The 25,546-nt window shown below is 42.6% G+C and overlaps 1 protein-coding gene across 2 annotated transcripts, besides 2 other annotated features; it reads right to left on the bottom strand.

The window, feature by feature from the left end:
• Positions 12,682 to 25,320, bottom strand: SRP9 (signal recognition particle 9). 2 transcript variants are annotated; one of them, NM_001130440.2, is made up of 4 exons: positions 25,134 to 25,320; positions 19,778 to 19,846; positions 16,161 to 16,284; positions 12,682 to 13,906 (listed from the first exon to the last, which is right to left on the bottom strand). In NM_001130440.2, the coding sequence occupies exons 1-3, from the start codon at positions 25,203 to 25,205 to the stop codon at positions 16,177 to 16,179; spliced, it is 249 nt and encodes an 82-aa protein (NP_001123912.1). In that variant the 5' UTR covers positions 25,206 to 25,320; the 3' UTR covers positions 12,682 to 13,906; positions 16,161 to 16,176. The 2 variants fall into 2 exon arrangements, with proteins under 2 accessions (NP_001123912.1, NP_003124.1); NM_003133.6 differs by lacking the exon at positions 16,161 to 16,284.
• Positions 21,098 to 21,597: an enhancer, noted in NCBI's record as "H3K4me1 hESC enhancer chr1:225969251-225969750 (GRCh37/hg19 assembly coordinates)". NCBI's record gives its function as "activates a minimal SCP1, AML or CMV promoter by ChIP-STARR-seq in naive H9 embryonic stem cells {active_cell/tissue: H9 hESC(naive)}" and the evidence as "EXISTENCE:reporter gene assay evidence [ECO:0000049][PMID:30033119]".
• Positions 24,981 to 25,350: an enhancer, noted in NCBI's record as "active region_2629". NCBI's record gives its function as "activates an Ori minimal core promoter by ATAC-STARR-seq in GM12878 lymphoblastoid cells {active_cell/tissue: GM12878}" and the evidence as "EXISTENCE:reporter gene assay evidence [ECO:0000049][PMID:35858748]".

The following is a 25,546-nucleotide window of genomic DNA, read 5'->3' as shown; positions in this document are numbered from 1 at the left end:
TGTGTGGGCAAGGAGAGCAGGGTCAGAGGTCAGCTGGGAAGACTGAGGTCACAAGGCCTGGGGCACAGCTTAGTGGGCACCTGGGAGGGAGATTTATGATCTAGCTCTCACTATGTTTTAAAAGCTCAATATTTGTGAGAAGATGAATGAATAAACATATTTGAATCATAAATAATTAAATCAGCTAGGTCTCCTAATAGGCCAGACAATGGACTAGGTACTTCACATATATTATCTCAGGTGATGTCTGCATTTCATCCTCAGGTAGGTTCCTGCATTAACCCCATTCCACCTGAGGCCACTGACACCCAGAGGTGTTCAGTGACATGCCAGAGGACCTGCAGCCAGTGGAAGGCAGAGCTAGATGGAGGCCAGACCAACTGGTTCCAAGGCCTCTTCTTAACCACTGTGCTACGCAGCCCCCATCTGCTCCAGAGAGTTAACTTGTCCATGAGGAAAGAATTCATCAAAGCAGAAGGAAAGCTCATCTCCCCTAGTAACAGCTAAAGCTAGGATTTTTCAAAGATTTAATCACAGAGAAGGGTGAAGTGAAAGTAGATGATTACAATCGTGTATATGGAGTCAATGGCAATACAAAAATCCATTGAAAATTGTCAAAGATATTTTGCAATAAAATGAATAATGCAATTTCTTCCTTTTTTTTTTTTTTTTTTTTTTTTTGAGATAAGTGTTCACTCTTCTTGGCCAGGCTGGAGTGCAATGTCTCGATCTCGGCTCACTGCAACCTCCACCTCCCAGGTTCAAGCAATTCTCATGCCTCAGCCTCCCTAGTAGCTGGGACTACAGGCATGTGCCACTGTGCCCAGCTAATTTTTGTATTTTTAGTAGAGACTGACTGGGTTTCACCATGTAGGCCAGGGTGGTCTCAAACTCCTGACCTCAAGTGATCCACCTGCCTCGGCCTCCCAAAGTGCTGGGATTACAGGTGTGAGCCACCACCCTGGGTCTCTCTTTTTTTTTTTTTTTTTGAGACAAGGCCTAGCTATGTTGACTAAGCTGGCCTCCAACCTCAGCCCGCCAAGGAGCTAGGACTACAGGTGTGTGTCACTGTGCCCAGCTGCAAATAATTTTTTTCTAACATGTGGCTTGTCTTTTCATTCTCTTAACAGTGTCTTTAGAATAGCAGAAGATTTTAATTTTAAAGAAGTCCAGTTTATCATTTTTTTCTTTTACAGATTTTTTTTTGGTGTTGTTTCTCAATCTTTGCCTAACCAAGGTCACGAAGATTTCTTCCTATCTTTTCTTCTTATAAGTTTTATGGTTTTACATTTAGAACTATGATCTATCTTTTTAATTTTTGTATATAGTACAAGGTAGAGCTCAAAGTTCACTTTTTAAAAACATTTGGATATCTAGTTTTTCCAGCACTATTTGTTGAATAGACTGTCTTATCTCCATTAACTTGCCTTCACACCTTTTGATTTTTTTTTTTTTTGAGATGGATTTCGCTCTTTCGCCCACCCTGGAGTGCAGTGGCAGGATCTCAACTCACTGCAACCTCCACCCTCCAGGTTCAAGCGATTTTCCTGCCTCAGCCTCCTAAGTAGCTGGGATTACAGGCGCATGCCACCACACCTGGCTAATTTTTTTGTATTTTTAGTAGAGATGGGGTTTCACCATGTTGGCCAGGTTGGTCCCGAACTCTTGACCTCAGGTGATCCACCTGCCTCTGCCTCCCAAAGTGCTAGGATTATAGACGTGAGCCACTCTGTCTGGGATCAACAGGCGTGTGCTGTTGGTAGAAGAGCTGAGGCAGGACTGGCTTATCTGTCATAATGTAAAAGAGTCTAGGAAGATGTCCAGGGTCCAGGGTCTAAAACCCCTCGTGGCCTTTGGAACACCAAGCTCTGTGCCAAAGGGTGGAAGGCTGCCCTGCCGCACCACAATCTAAGCCCGGGGCATAGAACCCCTTGTGGCTTGGATGGAACCCAGGGCTCAGGGCATAAAACCCCTCGTAGCCTCTGGAATGTGCACAGACTTGTTGGTTCCTTGCTTCTTACTTGTAAACGTGTCCTCCATTATCTCAAGCAGCAGAGCATATACTATATGCATCAAAGGAAATGCTAAACCGTCACAGCTAGGCTTAATGCACCACCTTTCTACCCCCACATCCCCACGCCCTCACCTGTTTACCCTCATGTCCTCACCACCTGCTTCTTTGTTTGATCACCAATAAATAGTGTGAGATCCCAGAGCTTGGGGCCTTCACGGCCTCCAATCTAGCGCTGGGCCCCTGGACCTACTTTATGCACTCTTAACTTGTCTTTTCTCATTCCTTTGATCCTGCTGGGTTTTGTAGCCCCCATGGCCTGGTGTTGGGCCTGATCACCCCAACATTTCTGGTGCCCAGCGTGGGGCTATGAAGACCCCAGTAGCTAGAGCATGTGGAAGTGGAGGACGCATCATCAAAGGAAACCTGAGGATGACCGAAAGGAGCTCGGTGGGTAAGCTGGGCGCTCAGAAGAACCAGGGTAACAATGGGACAAAATGAAAGTAAACATTCTGCTTAAACTTTCTTTCTTTCTTTTTTTTTTTGAAACGGAGTCTTGCTCTGTTGCCCAGGCTGAAGTGCAGTGGCGTGATCTTGGCTCGCTGCAACCTCCGCCTCCCGGGTTCATGCCATTCTCCTGCCTCAGCCTCCCGAGTACCTGAGACTACAGGCACCCGCCACGACACCCAGCTAATTTTTTGTATTTTTAGTAGAGACGGGGTTTCACCTTGTTAGCCAGGATGGTCTCGATCTCCTGACCTTGTGATCCGCCCACCTCAGCCTCCCAAAGTGCTGGGATTACAGGCATGAGCCACCGTGCCTGGCCTATTTAAACTTTCTAAGGCATTTACTATGGAGAGGAGGAGTGAAAGTTAGTACTCAACATTTATTAACACTCTTTAGTACAGTAGAGCAGTTTTGCCCATGGTTCCCAGAACAAGGGACAATGGAGTTGGATGAATGGGAAAGAATTGGCAGAGATTTAAAAAAGGTGCATAAAGAAGGAGCCAGAATTCCAGTTTCTGTTGGTCAGTGTGGGCGTTGAGAAAGGCAGCTCTTGAGCCATTTCAAACAGATGGCGAGGCAGATTCAGATGAGAAAGAGGCAGATGAGAGTAAAAAATTACCTTCAGATTCTGAATGTAAGGAACAGGAACCAGAGGAAATTAAAGAAAAGAAAGGAAAGCTGAAAAAGGTATATTTTACTAGCCTGTCAGTTCCACCTGCTGAATTAAGTAAATGGCCACCTCCTTCCTCTCCCCATAATGGGCGAGAAGATGAATTAGCTGTAAAACTTACTGCTCTGGTAGCTGCAACATTAAAACCTGGAGCAATTGGTGGCGCCATACAAAATTCTATTCAGAAGGCCAGAGCTGAAGGAGACCTAGAAGCATGGCAATTTCCCATTACTATAACCCAACAAGGAGGGCAACATATAGCTAATTGGGCCACTTTTCTTTTAAGTTGTTGAAGGAATTTAAATAAGCCATTAGTCAATATGGGCCAAATTCTCCTTTTGTACAAACTTTACTAAAAAATGTGGCTCTTGATAATAGATTAATACCATATGACTGGGATACTTTAACAAAATCTGTTCTCACTCTGACCCAGGACTTACAGTTTAAAACTTGGTGGGCTGAGGCCGGGTGCGGTGGCTCATGCCTGTAATCCCAACACTTTGGGAGGCCGAGGTGGGCGGATCACGAGGTCAGGAGATCAAGACCATCCTGGCTAATAAGGTGAAACCCTGTCTCTACTAAAAATACAAAAATTAGCCGGGCGTGGTGGCGGGCGCCTGTAGTCCCAGCTACTCGGGAGGCTGAGGCAGGAGAATGGCATGAACCGGGGAGGTGGAGTTTGCAGTGAGCCGGAGCTTGCAGTGAGCCGAGATTGCGCCACTGCACTCCAGCCTGGGAGACAGAGCGATACTCCGTCAAACAACAACAACAACAACAACAACAACAACAACTTGGTGGGTTGATGAAGCTCAAACTCAGGCAAGGGAAAACACACAAGCACAGCCTCCTGTGCCTGTTTCCTTTGAGCAGTTAATGGGGTTGGGCCCTAATTGAGGCTGATTAGATAGACAATCAAGCAGTAATGAAAAATATTGCCATTGTTCAGTTATGCACTGTATGCTTACGGGCATGGAAAAAAATAAATGTTACAGGGAAAAAATATCCTTCTTTCATTAGACCTATGAGAGGGAAGGCTCATTTGGCTGAATATATTAAGGCTTGTGATGGCATTGGGGGTAATTTACGTGATGGCATTGGGGGTAATTTATGTAAGGCTACTCTTTTAGCTCAAGCTACGGCCGAATTAAAGGTGGGAAAAAATATGCCCCATTTCTCAGGGTCTTATTTTAATTGTGAGCAATTTGGACACACAAAAAAGGAATGTAGAAAAGGAAATCAAAAGGCAAAAACTATTACCATCAGTCAACAGAAAAGTCCCAGTGGATGCTCCCAGTGTAAGAAAGGCAATCACTGGGCAAATCAGTGTCATTCTAAATTTAGCAAAGATGGGTAACCTCTTTCGGGAAACAGGAAGAGGGGCCTGCCTCAGGCCCCTCAACAAACCGAGGCATATCCGGCACAGCCAGTGCCCTTATAAAAGTACAACAATTGTCCCCCGCCACAACAGGCAGTGCTGCCGTAGATCTTTGCAGCACGGTTCCCATTTCCTTACCTCCTGGGGAGCCACCAAAGGTCCCCATAGGAGTTAGGGGCCCTTTACCCTCAGGAACAGTTGGTCTATTGCTTGGAAGGTCTAGTTTAAATTTAAGAGGTGTCACTGTACATACAGGAATAATTGATTCTGATTATACCAGAGAGATTCAATTAGTTATTAGTTCCTCAATTCCATGGTCTGCTTCCCCAGGAGAAAGAATTGCTCAGTTGTTGCTGTTACCTTATACAAAACTGGGAAGCAGCACACTAAAAAGAATAAGAGGCTTTGGTAGTACGAATCCAGCAGGAAAAACCTGTATATTGGGTTAATCAAGTGTCTGACAAAAGACCTATTTGTATAGTAAGTATTCAAGGAAAGGATTTTGAAGGGTTAGAAGATACTGGAGCTGATGTTTCTATTATTGGTTTAAATCAATGGCCCCAGCATTGGCCAAAACAAAAGGCATCCATTGGTATTATTGGGGTAGGAGCTGCCTCAGAAGTTTTCAAAGTTCTTTAATTTTGCCATGCCAAGGGCTGGATGGCCAAGAAGGGACAATTCAACCTATTATTATACCTATTCCTGCCAATCTACAGGGTAGAGACTTATTGCAACAATGGGGTGCTGAAATATCTATTCCTATGGACCAGTATAGTAATAACAGTAAATAAAACAAATGATGAGAAAAAGGGGAAATCTCCTGGGGAAGGGACTAGGAAAAAATGCAAATGGCCAATCAGAACCTTTAGAACTAAAAGGACAAACAGATCGAACTGGATTAGGGTATCATTTTTAGGAGTGGCCATTGCTGAGCCTCCTGCTCCCATTCCTCTTGTTTGGTTAACTGCCAGACTGGTTTGGGTAGAGCAATGGCCACTGAAGAAGGAAAAACTGGAGGCTTTAAAAGAATCAGTACGGAAACAATTGCAAAAGGGACACATAGAGTCTACCTTCTCTCCTTGGAATTCTCCTGTGTTTGTTATTAAGAAAAAATCAGGAAAATGGAGAATGTTAACAGATTTGAGGGCTGTTAATGCTGTAATTCAACCCATTGGTGCACTGCAACCAGGCTGCCTTCTCCAAAAATGATCCCAAAATACTGGCCTCTCATAGTGATAGATTTAAAAGATTGCTTCTTTACCATTCCTTTAGCTACCCAAGATTATGAAAAATTTGCTTTTACTGTTCCTTCTATAAATAACAAAGAACCAGTGGACAGATACCATTGGAAAGTACTGCCACAAGGCATGTTAAATAGCCCGACTATTTGTCAAACTTATATCGGAAAAGTTATGAAGCCAATTAAAGAACAATTTTACAAATGTTATATTATCCATTACATGGATAATTTTATTTGCAGCTGAAACTAAAGAGGAATTAATGCTATGCTACAAACAACTGGAAAAGGCTGTGACTGCAGCGGGATTAATCAATCATAGCCCTGATAAAATCCAAACTTCTACTCCCTTTCAGTATTTAGGAATGAAAGCAGAATAAAGTACTATTAAGCTTCAAAAGGTTCAAATTAGAAGAGATGATTTAAAAACTCTAAATGGCCGGCCTGCCTTCCTTTCCTTCCCTCCCTCCCTCCCTCCCTCCCTCCCTCCCTTCCTTCCTCCCTCCCTCTCTCTCTTTCGACGGTCTCCCTCTGTTGCCGAGGCTGGACTGTACTGCCATGATCTCGGCTCGCTGCAACCTCCTTGCCTCGGGCTCCCGTGATTCTCCTGCCTCGGCCTGCTGAGTGCCTGGGATTGCAGGCACGCACCGCCACGCCTGACTGGTTTTTGTATTTTTGGTGGAGACAGGGTTTTGCCATGTTGGCCGGGCTGGTCTCCAGCTCCTGACCTTGAGTGATCTGCCTGCCTCGGCCTCCCGAGGTGCTGGGATTGCAGACGGAGTCTCGCTCACTCAATGCTCAGTGTTGCCTAGGCTGGAGTGCAGTGGCTTGATCTCGGCTCGCTACAACCTCCACCTCCCAGCCACCTGCCTTTGCCTCCCAAAGTGCTAAGATTACAGCCTCTGCCCGTTTGCCACCCCGTCTAGGAAGTGAGGAGCATCTCTGCCTGGCTGCCCATCGTCTGGGATGTGAGGAGCGCCTCTGCCCGGCTGCCCCGTCTGGGAAGTGAGGAGCGCCTCTGCCCAGCCGCCCCGTCTGGGATGTGAGGAGCGCCTCTGCCCGGCCGCCCTGTTTGGGATGTGAGGAGCACCTCTGCCTGACCACCCCGTCTGGGAAGTGAGGAGCGCCTCTGCCCAGCCGCCCCATCTGGGAAGTGAGGAGCGCCTCTGCCTGGCCGCTGTGCAATCTTCCAAGTGTGAAGTGACAGCCTTTCTGCAGGTGTACCCAACAGCTCCAAAAAGACAGCGACCATCGAGAACGGGCCATGATGACGATGGCGGTTTTGTCAGAAAGAAAAGGGGGAAATGTGGGGAAAAGAAAGAGAGATCAGATTGTTATTGTGTCTGTGTAGAAAGAACTAGACATAGGAGATTCCATTTTGTTCTGTACTAAGAAAAATACTTCTGCCTTGGGATGCTGTTAATCTATAACCTTACCCCCAATCCCATGCTCTCTGAAACATGTGCTGTGTCCACTCAGGGTTAAATGGATTAAGGGCGGTGCAAGATGTGCTTTGTTAAACAGATGCTTGAAGGCAGCATGCTCGTTAAGAGTCATCGCCACTCCCTAATCTCAAGTACCCAGGGACACAAACACTACGGAAGGCCGCAGGGACCTCTGCCTAGGAAAACCAGAGACCTTTGTTCAGGTGTTTATCTGCTGACCTTCTCTCCACTATTATCCTATGACCCTGCCACATGCCCCTCTCTGAGAAACACCCAAGAATGATCAATAAACACTAAAAAAAAAAAAAAAAAAAAAGTATGATGTTTGCAGTGATAGTATTGAAGAGTTGTAATCATGAATGGATAGTGAGTGTGACCAGATTTCTCTGTACTTATTGAGGTAATCATGAGATTTTCTTCCTTATTCTGTTATTGTTGTTCATTATCAATGATGGTCACATATTAAACTAATCTTCTATTCCTCAGGAAAAAAAAAAAAACTAAATGATTTTCAAAAATTGTTAGGAGGCATTAACTGGATTCATCCCACTTTAGGCATTCCTACTTTTGCTATGTCTTACCTCTTTTCTACCTTACGAGGTAATTCTAACTTAAACAGTAAATGCTTCCTGTCCAAAGAGGCATTAGAGGGACTTCAATTAATTGAAGAAAAAAATTCAACAGGCACAAGTGACTCGAATTGACCCTATGCAGCCATTAGTTTTTAGTTTTTCCTACTAAACATTCACCTACAGGAGTTACTGTTCAACAGAATTATCTGGTTGAGTGGCTTTTTCTACCTCACAATACAACTAAACGCTCACTCTATACTTAGATCAAATTGCTGTACTAGTAGGACAAGGAAGGCTGCGCACAACAAAGTTAATGGGATATGATCCAAATCAAATTATAGTTCCATTAAACAAGCAACAAATTCAGTAAGCTTGTATTAATTCCCAGGAATGGCAAGTAATTTGACAGGTTTTATTGGCATTCTTGATACATTATCCTAAATCCAAAATATTCCAACTTCTTAAATTAACATCATGGATATTGCCTTCCATTACTCAAAAAGCTCCTATTGAAGGGGGCCATCACTGTTTTTACTGATGGATCTAACAATGGAAAAGTCTCATTTGTGGGACCTCAACAGCAAGTTTTTCAAACTGACTTTGCTTCTGCTCAAAGGGCTGAACTTACGGCTGTAATTACAGTACTAAAAACTTTTAAACAGCCAGTAAACATTGTTTCTGATTCAGCCTATGTAGTGCAAGCCACACAAAATATTGAATGTGCCTTAATTCAAAATGTGACTAATGACCAACTTAATCTTTTATTTCATTCTTTACAGCAAGCAGTACAACAAAGACATTCCCCCTTTTTATATTACTCATATAAAAGCACATACTAACCTCCCTGGCCCTTTAACTACTCAAAGGGCGGATAATTACATGGGGAAGAGGATTTGCTTGTGTCTCTCCAGGTGACAATCATGTGCCTGTATGCGTGCCCACCAAACATCTGAAGATCTATCATGAACTACAGCAGGAAGAGAGGACTCTGGGAAGAGCCAAAAATCCCGGTATGAGTGATGGCACAAATAAACCTCTCAGAGATGAAGGAGAAAACTGAGAATAGTCATCAGGCAAATTCTCCAACATAGGGACAAATCAAGAAGTTGGCGCAGATGGCAAAGGACAACTTGAAAACACAGAACAAACTAAAAACAACTAGTAACCTGATGGTGGCCATGCTGGCGGTACTCACCATGGCAGCAAGCCTCCCTACTATAGGAGCAACTCAGAATTTCACTTATTGGGCATATGTCCCATTTCTTCCTTTAATTAGGTCTGTGAGTTGGATGGACCCTGTTATTGAGGTATACACCAACAACAGTAGCTGGATGTCTGAGCCCACAGATAACCAAGGGCCAATGCATCCTAATGAGGAAGGAATAAAAATAAATATATCCATAGAATATAAATATCCCCAATATGCCTGGGACCTGCTGTTGGAGGTTTACAGATTGACACACAGGCCTGGTTGGCAGTATTCCCCGAAAAAATAAATCATGGGCTGTTTTGCATATGATTTCAGGGCACAGTTTAAAATATAATCATTCCCATCCTAAAACCCTGAGGTTCCATCTGAATAAGTTCAAATATAAACAAAATAGAGTTTAGTTTAAAGGTGGGGATGCTTGAACTTGGGAAAATTGTATAGCAAGTTAAGGCTGAGGTGCCATAAAATAATTCCTATGGAATCATCATTAATTAGTCCCCTAAGGGGATCTTTAAAGAAAATTGCACCAGAAGGCCTTCTTGTAGAACAAATGTAACAAACTGATAGAACCATTGGCAATTAAATAATACACAATATATTTGGACAAAAGCTGAGGTCCCTATCATATGGAGTCCTACTGGCATTGTCGCCCCTAGTCCAAAAATGGTATCTCCTGCCATAGGACAGGAACATTCTGAATTATGGAAATTAGCTATGGCTCAAAGTTCAATCCAAATTTGGGAGGGTAAATATAACAAGTATAAAGGGGAAGGAGGTAAAAATAAATATGCTCTTTCTTTTCTTTCCAACAGGACTTTTTGGATTCAAAGTTGTGTCCGGCCACCTTTTCTGCTAGCAATAGGAAATGTTACTCTTGATATAAACACACACTTTATTTCATGCCCCGCATGTCATTTGTTTACCTGTATTAGTTCAACCTTTAATAAAAATCAGACTGTCCTAATAATTAAAGCCAGGGAAGGAGTCTGGATACCTATGTCTTTAAATAGACCGTGGGCGGCATCTCCATCCATTCATACAGTAAATGAAATCCTTAAAAAACTTTTATCCCGTTCAAAAAGATTTATAGTTGCTCTCATAGTTGCTATAATTGGCCTCGTTGCTGTTACTACTACTACTGCAATAGCTGTACATGAATGGCTCTACATTCATCTGTACAAAGTGTTAAATTTGTCAATAAGTGGCAAAAGAATTCCACAAAATTATGGAACTCTCCAACTCAAATAAATCAAAGAACCAAATTAATGATCTCCATCAGACAGTGATTTGATTGGGAGAGCGTTATTGTAAGCTTAAAAAGTAAAATTCGAATGCATTGTGATTGAAATACCTCTGATTTTTACATTACTCCTCATCTGTATAATGAAACAGAGCATGAGTGGGAAAAAGTTGAGACATTTAAAAGGTCATACTGGAGCCGGGCACGGTGGCTCACACCTGTAATCCCAGCACTTTGGGAGGCCGAGGTGGGCGGATCACGAGGTCAGGAGATCGAGACCATCCTGGCTAACACAGTGAAACCCCGCCTCTACAAAAAATACAAAAAATTAGCCGGGCGTGGTGGCGGGCGCCTGTAGTCCCAGCTACTCAGAAGGCTGAGGCAGGAGAATGGCGTGAACCCAGGAGGCGGAGCTTGCAGTGAGCCGAGATCGCGCCACTGCACTCCAGCCTGGGCGACAGAGCGAGACTCCGCCTCAAAAAACAAACAAACAAACAAAAAGGTCATACTGGAAATTTATCTTTGGATATTGCAAAACTGAAGGAACAAGTATTTCAAGCCTCTCAGGCACATCTGACACTAATGCCAGGAAGTGAAGTGCTTGAAGGAGCTGCAGATGGATTAGCAGCTATTAACCTGCTAAAATCGATCAAGACACTTGGAGGCTCTGTGATTTCAATAATGATTGTGCTTTTAATCTGTGTTGTTTGTCTTTATACAGCCTGCAGATGTGGAAGCTGCCTCTGGAGAGAAAGCCACCGCCAAGAACAAGCAATGATAACTATGGCGGTTTTGCAAACAAGGAAAGGGAGACATGTTGGTAGAAGAGCTGAGGCAGGACTGGCTTGTCTGTCATAATGTAAGTCTTGAAAGATGTCCGGGGTCCAGGTTCTAAAACCCCTCGTGGCCTTTGGAACACCAAGCTCTGTGCCAAAGGGTGGAAGGCTGCCCTGCCGCACCACAATCTAAGCCCAGGGCATAGAACCCCTTGTGGCTTGGATGGAACCCAGGGCTCAGGGCCTAAGACCCCTTGTAGCCTCTGGAATGTGCACAGACTTGGTTCCTTGCTTCTTACTTGTAAACATGTCCTCCATTAACTCAAGCAGCAGAGCATATTCTATATACATCAAACGAAATGCTAAACCATCACAGCTACGCTTATGTACCACTACCTTTCTACCCCACATCCTCACGCCCTCACCTGTTTACCCTCACGTCCTTACCACCTGCTTCTTTGTTTGATCACCAATAAATAGTGTGGGCTCCCAGAGCTTGGGGCCTTCACAGCCTCCAATCTGGCACTGGCCCTCTGGACCCACTTTATGCACTTTTTTTTTTTTGAGGCCCAGTCTTACTCTGTCACCCAGGCTGGAGTGCAGTGGTGCGATCTCTGCTCACTGCAAGCTCTGCCTCCCGGGTTCACACCATTCTCCTGCCTCAGCCTCCCAAGTAGCTGGGTCTACAGGCGCCCGCCACCACACCCAACTAATTTTTTTCGTATTTTTAGTAGAGACGGGGTTTCACGGTGTTAGGATGGTCTCAACCTCCTGACCTTGTGATCCGCCCGCCTCGGCCTCCCAAAGCGCTGGGATTACGGGCGTGAGCTACCGTGCCTGGCCCACTTTATGCACTCGTCTTTTCTCATTCCTTTGACCCTGCTGGACTTTGTAGCCCCCATGGCCTGGTGTTGGGCCTGATCACCCCAACAGTGTGCCACTGTGTCCAGCTCATTTTTGTATTTGTAGCAGAGATGGGGTTTCACCTTGTTGGCCAGGCTGGTTTCAAACTCCTGGCCTCAAATGAACCGCCCACCTCAGCCTCGCAAAGTGCTGGGATTACAGGCATGAGCCACTGTGCCCAGCCTTGGATCATGATGTTTAATCTTAACAGTCTTACAAGCAAAGTACTATTGTTGGCCCCATTTCCAGAGATGAAAATGAAGGCTTAGAAAAGTATCTAGTCTAAGACCACAGAGTTAGGAAATAGTGGAGCCAGGATTTAAAGCCAGGCAGTCTGACTTGGAATGTCTGTTCTTAACCACTCTGTTACACGCTACCAGGACTCAAAGAACCCAAATGCCAGTCTCTCCTTTTCAGGTCATCTCTGTAGTGTTAAATAAGGGGGAAAAAGGTCAAGCCTCTCCCCTCCCCTGATGGTGATCCCATTAATTCTGGGGGAAAAAAAAACAAAAAGCCAAAATAATCCTATACTATTTGATGTTACTTTTCTAATTCAAGAAAACAAACTTGCTATTAACATATAGTGCAGAGAAAGTCATATAATATAAAGTACTGAGAAACAAAAAATTTGCTTTCAGCATTACTAGGCTCATTTTGGACTAAATGAATATAGTATATCCCAGCTCAGAAATCAACAATTTCTGAAAAGTTAAAAACTTCAACACAAACAATATATATTTTATCTAATATTTTATTTACTGATCTCTCTGAAACATGCCAAAATTCATATAGCTAAGGGAACTTACCATGCTAAAATGCTGTTCAACATGACAAATTTATACAAAACATATTTCAATGTAGTGCCTTCATTTCATTCTTGAGGAATCAACATTACATTTAGGTGGTGAAATACAAATATAATTATCAAATATCGTACTTCTAGTTTACTGGAAAACATAACAGTTGTGACAGTCACACCTAACACCTTGGTTAATTAAAGACAGAAAATGGGCAGGGGTGTCACAGAAGTATGCAAGGATTTGACAGTTCAAACTAATCCATAGCCCTTCTGAGAAACTACAGATGGAAAATATGTAGTAAATATTTCTGTAATATGGTGGTTTCAGTACATTATAGCACAGTGATCATCATTCCATTCATACACTCAAATAACTGCTGCTTCTGATCACTGAAAACTAGATTCAAAGTCATTGCTCAACAAGCTGATACTACAAATCCCTTATATTAACAGGTAGTTTAAATGTGGAAATAAGGCAAAGCATACTTGTTAGTCACAATTACTTTCAGATATAATTGAGACTACACTGCTATACATAATTAGGTACACAGTATGTATAACAATGCATACTATGGTGTGGAGTTAATTCCAATTACCATATTTTATATTTATTGGTCACAACAGCATACATTTTATGCTCCAAAATACATGGATCTGACAAAATGGTTACATTTAATGTTCTTTTAAAGAAAGATGAACTAAATTTAAGAAGAATTGGTTTTTCCTAATATCTCATTTTCAAATTACTGATACAAATTTGCCAGAGAAACAATTACATGTTTTACCTAACATCAAATAATCTCCAGTTTCTAAGACAGATGCATTTCTTGTTCAATTTCCAAAAGTAAATAAAGGCTTTCTAACTGAAAACATTTGCATCCCTAGCTCTCTAAAGTAATTAAAAAGAAAATTACAAAAAATGACCTCTAAGCTTCTGAACAGCCCACTTAGTTACATAAAGTACTTTCTGTCCCAACACTTTCTCTAATTCAAAAGATATTTACTTCCTAAGTACACGACAAAGTCTTCATTTCAAACCATTCACTCAGTTTCCATGGTAACATTGCGGGCTTCCTTGGCTACCATAAGTCGCATTAGTTGACTGTGGAATTTCTCAATCTTCTTTACATCTTGAGCTTGGTCTGTTTTATACACCAAACACTGTCAGAAATTTTAGAAGTACATATTAACTATATAAAACTAGATACTGACAATGTAGAAAACATACAATTGGGTAAAATTTTGAGAGTTTTTCCTACCACTGTTTTGCTCTATTCTCCTTGGAGGTCGTACTAGGGAAATTGCACTCAAGTTTCCAAGCCTCCAGCAATTCCATGTCTTAAAGTACAGTAATTTAAATGCCACTGCTGTGGACAAAAAACTGAATGAAGTCTATTAGAAGCTTCTGAAAAATGTTAAATGTTAAATCCTGCTATGGTCTGATGAGAAGAACTCAAGACTTAGAATTAGATATTTTCTTCCTTCGAATTAGGTATTAGATTATCTCCCTACATATTTTCTCCCAGCCATAAGTAACTGAGTTATGCTGGAAAAAAAAACACAGAAATCTTAAGATCTCTTTTTCTACTGGTGAAATTGGGGGTTTGATAATAATTTTTAGAAAAAAATCTAGAATTCTCTGTGTATAGCTGGTCAACACATAAACCAGGTAAATCTTGATTTTCTTGGCCAGGCGTGGTGGCTTACGCCTGTAATCCCAGCACTCTGGGAGGCCGAGGCAGGCGGACCACCAGGTCAGCAGTTCGAAACCAGCCTGGCCAATATGGTGAAACCCCGTCTCTACTAAAAATACAAAAATTAGCTGGGCGTGGTGGCGTGTGCCTGTAATCCCAGCTACTTAGGAGGCTGAGGCAGGAGAATCGCTTGAACCCAGGAGTGAGGGCTGCAGTGAGCCAAGATCATGCCACTGCACTCCAGCCTGGGCGACAGAGTGAGATTCCGTCTCAAAAAAAAAAAAAAAAAAAATCTTGATTTGCTGAAGGTATGTATTTTTGAGACAGTGTCTCACTCTGTGGCCCAGGTTGGGGGTGTAGTGGTGCAATCTCAGCTCACTGCAACCTGCGTCCTGGGCTCAAGCGATCCTCAGCTTCCTGAGTAGCTGGGACTACAGGCACACACAACCACACCTAGCTAATTTTTCTATTTTTAGTAGAGACGGGGTTTCTCCATGTTGCCCAGGCTTGAAGATATTACTTTTAAATCAAACCAAATTCTTCCTTGTTAGCAGTTAAATTCTTCACTAGATACTTAAGATCTGCTTATGGTTGGTCATAAAGCCATCTGTTGTAGAATCTTCAAAAACAGCAACTTTAAGCTGGCAGCCCTTTCCTCATTTTGTAGTACAGATCCACTTTTCTTCAGCCCATCTTAAAGGTTCACATGAGTTTTAAACAACAGGAACTAATGATCCTATAATAAAAGTCAACAACTTAAATAACTTGAAGTTCAACCTCATCATGCCCAACTGATTTTTTTAAGTGAGCCTTTTAAACAACTCACTTAAAAAAATTTTTATCCACGCATTGTACAAATTTGTGCGGCAATCTTGTAAAAAGGCCATATTAATCTTCATCATCAAAATTTTAGCACATGTCCTATGAGAGAATGTACATACCTTCTCACTGAAATTTCTGACAGAAAAAGATTTTAGGTCCATAGAAGACAGTATTCTAAATCAATTATGGGATTAGAAAAATGATGGATACATGGGATTATAAAAAAGTCGAAGTTAACATGGATCCTTAATTATATTCAATCATTAACAGGGCAAAAAGAGCCATCAATTGGAGATAAGGCCTTTTGTATTAAAATTCGTTCTGCATTTATTCCCTTATTTTATTTTTTTTGAGACCGAGTCTAGTTCTGTCACCCAGGCTAGAGTGCAGTGGCACAATCTTGGCTCATTGCAACCTCTGCCTCCCAGTCCCAGGTTCAAGCGATTCTCCTGCCTCAGCCTCCCAAGTAGCTGAGATTACAGGCACCCACCACCATGCTAATATTTGTATTTTTAGTAGAGACGGGGTTTCACTGTGTTGGTCAGGCTGGTCTCGAACTCCTGACCTCATGATCCGCCCACCTCAGCCTCCCAAAATGCTGGGATTACCAGCACGAGCCACCGCGCCCGGCCTATTCCCCTATTTTTAAGACAGGACATAGGGGTTTTTCTTCAGCAAGTATACCTAACCACTCTGTGACAATCACAATTAAAATTTTTCTGTGTGGAATGTCAAGATTTAAGAAGTACTTAGTGGTTCACACCCATAATCCCAGTGGTTTGGGAGGCTAAGGCAGAAAGATGGCTTGAGTCCAGGAGTTCCAGATCAACCTGGGCAATATAATGAGACCCTGTCTTGACAAAAAAATTTAAAAATTAGCTGAGTGTGGTGGTGCACACCTGTAGTCTCTGCTATTCAGGAGGCTGAAGCAAGAGGACCGCTTGAGCCCAGGAGGTCGAGGATGCAGTGAGCTATGATCATGCCACTGCACTGCAGCCTGAGCAATAGAGCAAGACACTGTCTCTAAAAAAAAAAAAAAGCAATCAACCAACCAATCAACAAACAAAAGAATACATGTACTCAATCTACCAAGGGTAAGCACTCATGTTAGATACTTTCATATATTTTTTTACTATCACTATGATACTTTACAGATGAGGAAATTGAGACCAGAAGGCTAAATTTTTGGCCTAAACTTTTCCAAGGCCAAAATGCTAGTAAATGACTAAGCTAGGATTCACATCTCTTCAATCTATGTCTAGTATACTACATCTCGATTCACTCTTCCTTTTCCACATGTTTAGCTACTCACTACATTCAATTGGTTCTTAGAAGACATGGTAATCACTAAAAGGTCTAACTTCATGCAGTCTCATCATAATGGAACCCTGAACACAAATACAATATATGACCAAAGACAAAAAGTGATTTTTAAAATCACTCTATAAAATTTTCAAAAGAACTAACTATTTAAAAAATGTTTACTGAGTGCTCTCTGGGTCAAGACATCATAGTAGGCAATGGAAATAAGACATGTAAGAATATTACTGATCTATCTCTATTGTCTTGAAGGGCAGTCTATTAAAAAGACAAATGTGATAAAAGAATTGTGATACAGCACAAAAAGCCAAAATGAAAAGCAAGAAATGAAGTAATCCTCAAGTTGGGTTTTGAAAGATAAGCAGCAGTCTGGCCACATTAGGGGTGGAGGTGGGATTCAATATTGCAAAGGAGGAAACAGAATGTTTGAAAGCACTGAGGCCTAACACATCACAGCACATTAAAGGAGCTCTTACATAATACAGAAATGACAGAGATTAGAGAGGATGCAAGGGTGGAGTTTAAAGGTTTCTAAGCAAGGGAGTAACAATCAAATTAGCCTTTCAGAAATCACTCTGGGGCTGGGCGTGGTGGATCACACCTGTAATCCCAGCACTTTGGGAGGCCGAGGTGGGTGGATCGCTTGAGGTCAGGAGTTCAACTCCAGCCGCCTGGGCGACATGGTGAAATCTCATCTCTACTAAAAATACAAAAATTAGCTGGGTGTGGTGGTGCCCACCTGTAATCCCACCTACTTGGGAGGCCGAGGCAGGAGAATTGCTTGAACCCGGAAGGCAGAGGTTGCAGTGAGCCAAGAATGAACCATTGCACTCCAGTCTGGGTAATAGAGCCAGACTCCTTCTTTAAAAAAAAAAAAAAAAAAAAGTCCAGGCACAGTGGCTCACGCCTATAATCCCAACACTTTGGGAGGCCAAGGCGGGCAGATCACGAGGTCAGGAGTTCGAGACCATCCTGGCTAACAGGGTGAAACCCCGTCTCTACTAAAAATACACAAAATTAGCCAGGCGTGGTGGCGGGCGCCTGTAGTCCCAGCTACTCAGGAGGCTGAGGCAGGAGAATGGCGTGAACCCAGGAGGCAGTTTGCAGTGAGCCGAGATTGCGCCACTGCACTCCAGCCTGGGCGACAGAGCGAGACTCCATCAAACAAACAAACAAATAAAAAGAAAAGGCCAGGCGCAGTGGCTCACCCCTGTAATCTCAGCACTTTCAGAGGCCAAGGTGGGTGGATCATGAGGTAAAGAGATGGAGACCATCCTGGTCAACATGGTGAAAACCCCGTCTCTACTAAAAAAAAAAAAAAAAAAAATTAGTTGGGCGTGGTGGTGCACGGCTGTAGTCCCAGCTACTCAGGAGGCTGAGGCAGGAGAATCACTTGAACCCAGGAGGTGGAGGCTGCAGTGAGCAGAGATCGCCCACTGCACTCCAGCCTTGCAACAGAGCGAGACTCCGTCTAAATAGAAATCACTCTGGGCTGTGCACTGTGGCCCATGTGTGTAATCCCAGCAACTTGGGAGGCTGAGTGGGAGGACTGCTTGAAGCCAGGAGTTCAAGACCAGCCTGGGCAACATAGCGATATCCTGTCTCTAAAAAAATTTTTTTAATTAAAAAAAATCCCCAGATTTCTGACCACGTGGAAAATAATGCAACTAAAGGTAGGAAGGTAGGAACAGAAGAAGCAGCTAGTTTTTTTGTTTGTTTTTTTGAGATGGAGTCTTGCTGTGTCACCCAGGCTGGAGTGCAGTGGCACGATCTCTGCTCACTGCAAGCTCCACCTCCCAGGTTTATGCCATTCTCCTGCCTCAGCCTCCTGAGTAGCTGGGACTACAGGTGCCCGCCACCATGCCTGGCTAATTTTTTTGTATTTTTAGTAGAGATGGGGTTTCACCGTGTTAGCCAGGATGGTCTCGATCTCCTGACCTTGTGATCTGCCCACTTGACCTTCCAAAATGCTGGGATTACAGGCATGAGAAAGAGCTAGTTTAAGAACAGATGATAGGCCGGGTGGGGTGGTTCATGCCTGTAATCCCACCATTTTCGGAGGCCGAGACGGGTGGATCACGAGGTCAGGAGATCCAGATCATCCTGGCCAACATGGTGAAACCCTGTCTCTACTAAAAATACAAAAAAAAATTAGCTGGGCGTGGTGGTGGGTGCCTGTAGTCCCAGCTACTCGGGAGGCTGAGGCAGAAGAATGGCATGAACCCGGGAGGCAGAGCTTGCAGTGAGCCGAGATCACACCACTGCACTCCAGCCTGGGCGACAGAGCAAGACTCCGTCTCAAAAAAAAAAAAAAAAAAAAAAAAAAAAAAAAAAAGAACAGGTGATAAACTCCACTGTAGATAAGTGAATTTTGAGGGTATGTGAGATACAGATGCTAGTCAGAAAGTCAGAAGAATATGAACTAAACACACATTTGCAAGTAGACATAGACAGATGCAGTATTAGACTCAGTTAAATGAACTGCTCCAGAAGCTGTTATGAAAAGACAATCAAGGACAGAATCCTAGAGAAGCACATATATATGGGGCACATCAAAAAAAAAACAATCAGCAAAGAAGAATGAAACAACAGAAACACAGAATAGTAAGGCCAAGATAAAACAGAACCACAAGTGCCAAAATAATTATTTCTATGAAAGAGTGGGCTTCTGTATCAAAAGCAGCAAGGAGGTCAAATAACATATGAATAATAAGACCACTGGGTTTGAAAAGAAAGGAGCTGCTGATGTGCTCTCACAAAGAGCAGTTTCGCTGGAGTACCATATGCAGAAAACAAATGGCAGAGGGTTAAGGAATGAATGGGATATGAGGAAGTAACAAGAATGAGCATATCAAAGACAGGAAATACAATAAAGCCTGTAAGTTGTGTTCAAACACTGTCATTTAAAGGAAACTTTTACTCCCTTACATCCAATTTGGTCTCTACATTTCTGTTGCTTAAGGTCTGAAGACAGCACTTATTAAAGACACTTGACATAATGCATTAAGAAAGCAGGTTAAATAATTTCCTGAGGGTCTATAAAAGTAGCTGCTAGAATGAGGTTCTTCATCTTTAAATGAAATGCAAAATAAGCATCCTAATGGGTAATCTCCATAAACTCTAAGTAAATAATTTCAAACAAATAATTAACTCAAACAAATCTGAAAGTATGTAACAAATAAAAATGTATACTTACAACTAAATCATCTGTTACTTTAACACACAAGTTCCCATCAGAATGCCTATATTTGAGAACCACACGTGCCTGAAACAAAAATACATATTTAGAAACAGTGAAGACAAATGACATTTCTTATAAATAATTTAGTCTTCAGGTAGGCTGAAAAGGATCCTTTTAGAATAAATACCCCCAAACATCTAAAGGCATTTTTACTATAAACTAAACCGAAATGAAGTTAAAAAAAAAATCAGCTATTTTAGTTCATTCCTTTGCTACCATTTATTTAAGACTTAAAAAGTTGGATATTTTATTTGCAGCCAGTTTGAAGAGATGTACTGAACATTCTCAAAACACATCCACATTCAGGGAATGTCTGTGAGACTTATAAGGTGGCATTTCTTGCCAATAAGAATATACACCAACACACCTAGCCACAGAGGAATGACAGGAAAGGGAGGAAAACATTTAGCAGAAATGGCTAGTTAAAAAGTCCAAATCCATTCATTAGCAAACAGTGCTGCAGGTCAGTGCAACTCACACTTTCCATTTTTCCACAAATCTTAGCAAGCAGATTCAGACTAAAATATTCAGCAAAATCAGGTCTTTATCACGAAGGTAGAACATAACGCATTATTACATAAAAGCAGAATTCTGCCTTGAAGTCTCCACCAACAACTTTTCCAAAAACCAGAATAACTCCTATACTGAAGTTCCATGTTACACAATACTTTATGTTCAATATTCTACAGATTGCCAAGGCATTTAGATATTAGCATATTCCTATAAGACATCTCCCAAGAACACTTCCACGAACATTATTTTTTTTCAGTGATGGATTCAAGCACAGTGTATCGCAGTTTTTCCCTAACCAGTATCAGTAACTCTTGTTTAGCTAGCTGTTTTAAAAACTGCTAAGTATCGGCCAGGCGCGGTGGCTCACGCCTGTAATCTCAGCACTTTGGGAGGCCAAGGCGGGTGGATCATAAAGTCAGGAGATTGAGACCATCCTGGCTAACACGGTGAAACCCCGTCTCTACTAAAAAATACAAAAAATTAGCCGGGCGTGGTGATGAGTGCCTGCAGTCCCAGCTAATCGGGAGGCTGAGGCAAGAGAATGGTGTGAACCAGGGAGGTGGAGCTTGCAGTGAGCCGAGATCGCACCATTGCACTCCAGCCTGGGGACAGAGCGAGACTCCATTTCAAAAAAAATAAATAAATAAAATAAAATAAAATAAAAACTGCTACTTATCTACAAGCCAGAACAGAAACATAATTTTAAAATGGTTACAATCTAGCACCAGAGGCCTCAAGACAATTCTGGAAACTAAATAAAAAGGGCTAATGGAACTGCAACCTACAGCTTTCCCCATTACGGTCTTTGCATTCCTGAGACTGAAAAAAAAAAGTTACATCACTATATGCGATTTGTCTGAGTGAAGGAGGAAAGGGAACTCATCAAGCATTTAAGCAGGTATAAATAGTAGTAACTAGGTTAATTATCTTTAGAATACCTGATTCTATTTATTTATCTAGTAAATTCAGTTTTACACATTTTAAAAATTCAGTTCTCTAGAAACGAAACACTTAAAAATATACTAAGCATGACAACTATGTGAAGTTTTAACTCTCAGTTAAAGGAACACTCACTGGTTTCATTTAGGAGAAATGAGAGTTAAAAGGCCAATCATGGCTGGGTGCAGTGGCTCATGCCTATAATCCCAGCACTTTGGGAGGGCAGGAGTTCACTCACGAGGTCAGGAGTTCGAGACCAGTCTGGCCAACATGGTGAAACCCCGTCTCTACTAAAAATACAAAAATTAGCTGGGCATGGTGGTGGGTGTCTGTAATCCCAGCTACTCGGGAGGCTGAGGCAGGAGAATCGCTTGAACTCGGGAGGCGGAGGTTGCAGTGAGCTGAGATTGCACCACTGCACTCCAGCCTGGACAACAAAAGCAAAACTCTGTCTCAAAAAAAAAAAAAAAAAAAAAGAAAAAGAAAAGAAAAAAGGCCAATCGTGTTTATAAAAGGGTCCATTTGGTAATTTAGAGGGTGCCAAGTCACCATGTCAGATGCCATAAAGAAAGAAAAATCAAGGTTCTTTACCAAAAATAACCAAAACACAAGGACAGAATGAATTAAGTCCTATAAAGGGATATACAGATAAAATGCTAAAGAGAGAAAACAAGTAACTTAGACTGGGAAAAAGGAAAGTCTAAAAAAGGAGGTGGCTTTGAAATGCTTTTTTTGTTTTAACCTTATAGAAGAAGGCAGAAGAAAGGCTAAAAATCATTCTGAACAAGGATACAATCCGGTAGCTTCATGAGACTAGAGCTGAAGATCATGAAAATGGTGAGACAAAGCCAGAAAGACTGGAGATGGGTCAGACTGTGACTGGGAGTTGGGACTATATCCAGTTATCAAAGAGCCAGTTTTTAAGCAGGAGATGAAGAATTCAACTTTTGTTTTTTAGACAGTTGTGGCAAGAGTGTTAAGGAACTAAAAAGGCTGACAGACCAACAAAGAGGTTATTACATAATCCAGTGGTAATGCCATCTTCAATTACAGCAATACAAGACAGAGTGGTAAAAAGATACTGGGTATAATCAACAGGTTAAATGTGTTGCGGAGAGAAGACAGAGAATTTTGGAAAACAGATTCCAGAGACCTGACAAAATTTGTTCTTTAGCCCTAGCAGAAAGAGAATGGACTTGGGGTTCAAAGATCTGGGTCCAAATTTCATCTTAATCTCTCAAGAAACTAGGTATATCACTTAACAGATATAAAATCATTCATTTATATACTTTGATGGGTTGCTGTAATTGTTCATATATTATGTATAAATCTATGTAAACACACATAAATATATATTAAATGCCTGTAACATATAAACATATGTAAAATGCCTGTCACGTAGAGGCGGAGGTTGCAGTGAGCCAAGATGGCGCCACTGCCCTCCAGCCTGGGCAACAAGAACAAAACTCCATCTTGGAAAACAAACAAACAAAAAAAACTGTTAAGCTCTTCCTCTACACTCATCCTCTCCCCTCTCAACATATCAGTCAAGCCAGGCGCCATGGCTTGTGTCTGTAATCCCAGCTACTTGGGAAGCTGAGGCAGGAGAATCACCTGAGGCAAGGATTTAAGACCAACCTGGGCAACAAAGCAAGAGCCCCGTCTTTAAAAAAAAAAAAAAAAAAAAAAAAAATTAGGCAGGCATGGTGGCATGTCTGTAGTCTCAGCTACTCAGGAGGCTGAGGTGGGAGGATCACTCGAGCCCAGTTCAATGGTGCAGCGAACTGTGATTTGTGCCACTGCACTCCAGCCTGTGCCAACTGCAATTTTCTGACTGGGTAAGAGGTGAAATATTCTCTTTCTTGTCTATTCTAGACATGCTTTGCTCACAGTGATGCTCTAATTATTTTCATTTTCCCTACCACTGCCATCACATTCTTACAGTACAGTTACTCTTGATGTGAATTTATATATTCTTTACTGTTGTCTCAAGTATTTTTAGTTTATACTGTGGGTACTTCTGGATAAAAGTCCTGTGTGGTCTCAGAGTAGCATTGTCTGAATGAAGAAACAAATGACCCTGCCAACAAGGGAAGCTAACCAAATGAAGCAACCAGAAGTCACCAGTGTTATAAACAAATTACTCAATTTAAAAAATACAATTTCCATCATTTATTATTGTATCATTTTATTGTAAAAAATAGAAGTATGTTTTACAGCTTGTTACTTAGCTAGGTCTTTCTGTGGGTCTAATACTATTTTTAATCATAATTATCAACATTTCTTGCTGCACACTTTAAACTTATATGCACTATAAACTGTATGTGGCATTGGAGTTACAGGTTACCAGCTCACTGCATACACTTAAAACATAATTCATATTACTTAATGATCATCAATAGTTTCACACAGTAAATCCTGAGCCCTGGGCTGGGCGCAGTGGCTCACACCTGTAATCCCAACACTTTGGGAGGCCAACGCGGGTGGATCACGAGGTCAGGAGTTCCAGACCAGCCTGGCCAAGATGGTGAAACCCCGCCTCTATTAAAAATACAAAAAATTAGCCAGGTGTGGTGGCAGGCGCCTGTAAACCTAGCTACTCGGGAAGCTGAGGCAGGAGAACCGTTTGAACCCAGGAAGTGGAGGTTGCAGCGAGCTGAGATTGAGCCATTGCACTCCAGTCCGGGCGACAGTGCGAGATTTCGTCTCAAAAAAAATAAAACTATTGAAAAAAAAAAAAAAAGATCCTGAGCCCCGGTTTTCCGAGATTTTATCTGCTTTTAATTTTCTTTCTTCTCCGAGGGATACAGTCACAATACACTGGATCTATAATACCCTCCAATAATACCAGCTCCTTAAGGGTTGAACGGAATCTCATTCACCTTTGTGTCTCCCACAGAACCTAATTTAACTTGGGGTCAGTAACACGAGAGTGGGAAATGAATGCAGCATAAAAGAGATAACTGAGTTACAACAAACACAAAACAAAAGAAGCATCATACATAACCAGGTCTGAGGTTTTCAGTATAAAATCCCTTCAATATGCTGAGTTCTAAAAAGAAGCAGAACTTTTAATTAACACGAAGATGCTTCAAATAATTCTTAGACATGACAATAAAATAACCAAAACCTCAAGAGACGAAAAGTAAGACCCGAATGCTAAACTCCCATCACTTGGACTCCTTTGCTTTTTAATAATGAGCTAACCTCTGACATCCACCTCCATTATAATTTTTGTGGGGGCTAAGAATGTATTTCAGAGGTCCATGAATCCCTTAAAATTGTTTGCAAACATTTACTTATACATTTACTTATACCATTTTTCTGAGGAAAGGTGCAAATATTATTCTTATGGTCCCAAAGCCTGTGACTCCCAAAATACTAAGAACCAATATTCTGGGGGGTACAGATGCTTCCAAATTGGAATCTTTCAAGAATGTCTGAGCGGTAGTAGAAAAAACATCATCAGTTTTATATACATGAGGTACCCTTACCGCCTAGGCGGTACAGGAAAAGTGAACCAAGACAAAGGACAGGAAGCTGCAGGGGGAGGAGCCCTGGCTTCAGGGACTCGTAAAACAACCGAAGCCATAAAGGAAGCTGAGGGACTGGGGCGGGAAGATCGATTGCAGAAATGTTTAGGGCTGAGATGAACCTGGCTGTTGCCAGCTTCAGGGCCTCACTGGGCCGCTAGATCAGGGAAGAAGGGGACGAGAGAGCAGAACATTAACTTGGCAGGGTCCATTTGTGTTCATTCCCAGCACCTCCTGGGAGCGCTGGGGAAGCTCCAGGGGCCGAGTGGATGGCGGGAAGACATCCTGGGCTGGGGCCCAAAGCAGCGGCCCCGCCAGCGATTTACCTTCATAGGGTCAGCGAGGTAAAGCTTCTCGGCAGCGCGGCTGAACTCCTCCCAGGTCTGGTACTGCGGCATCGTGGCCTAGAGTGGAAAAGTAAAGAGAAGCAAGGCCTCAGAACCCGGCCCAACAAACTACCTACGTCCGGGAGTCGCCAACCGACGCGAGTCCCAGCAGCCCCAAGATGGCGGCGCCTCCTCGCACCAACGCCTCGCTCCATTGGACAGCCCCGTCCATGCTCGCCCAATGGGCAGGAGGGATGTTGTCAGGGAGTGGGCGGAGCCCAGGGCGTGTGGCTCGAGAGCTGAGCGAGACAAGCGGAGGGCACGGCAACCAATGCCGGCTGCCACAGCGCCCCCGGTAGGGCTGAATGAGTGGCGTCCGTCCCGTGGCCCTCAGGGCTGAACCGCAGCTGCCT

This window comes from Homo sapiens, chromosome 1 (assembly GCF_000001405.40).
Source record: "Homo sapiens chromosome 1, GRCh38.p14 Primary Assembly".
In the NCBI taxonomy this organism is placed as follows: domain Eukaryota; kingdom Metazoa; phylum Chordata; class Mammalia; order Primates; family Hominidae; genus Homo; species Homo sapiens.
Note: the sequence above shows the minus strand (reverse complement) of the source record. Positions and strands in the feature narration are given on the sequence as shown.

Coding starts and splice junctions, on each gene's coding strand:
- SRP9 (NM_003133.6), bottom strand. CDS start 25,205: ATGCCGCAGTACCAGACCTGGGAGGAGTTCAGCCGCGCTGCCGAGAAG. Junction 19,847..25,133: donor ACCTCGCTGACCCTATGAAG/GTAAATCGCTGG, acceptor TTTTTGTTTCAG/GCACGTGTGGTTCTCAAATA. Junction 13,907..19,777: donor AAGTAACAGATGATTTAGTT/GTAAGTATACAT, acceptor AATTTCTGACAG/TGTTTGGTGTATAAAACAGA.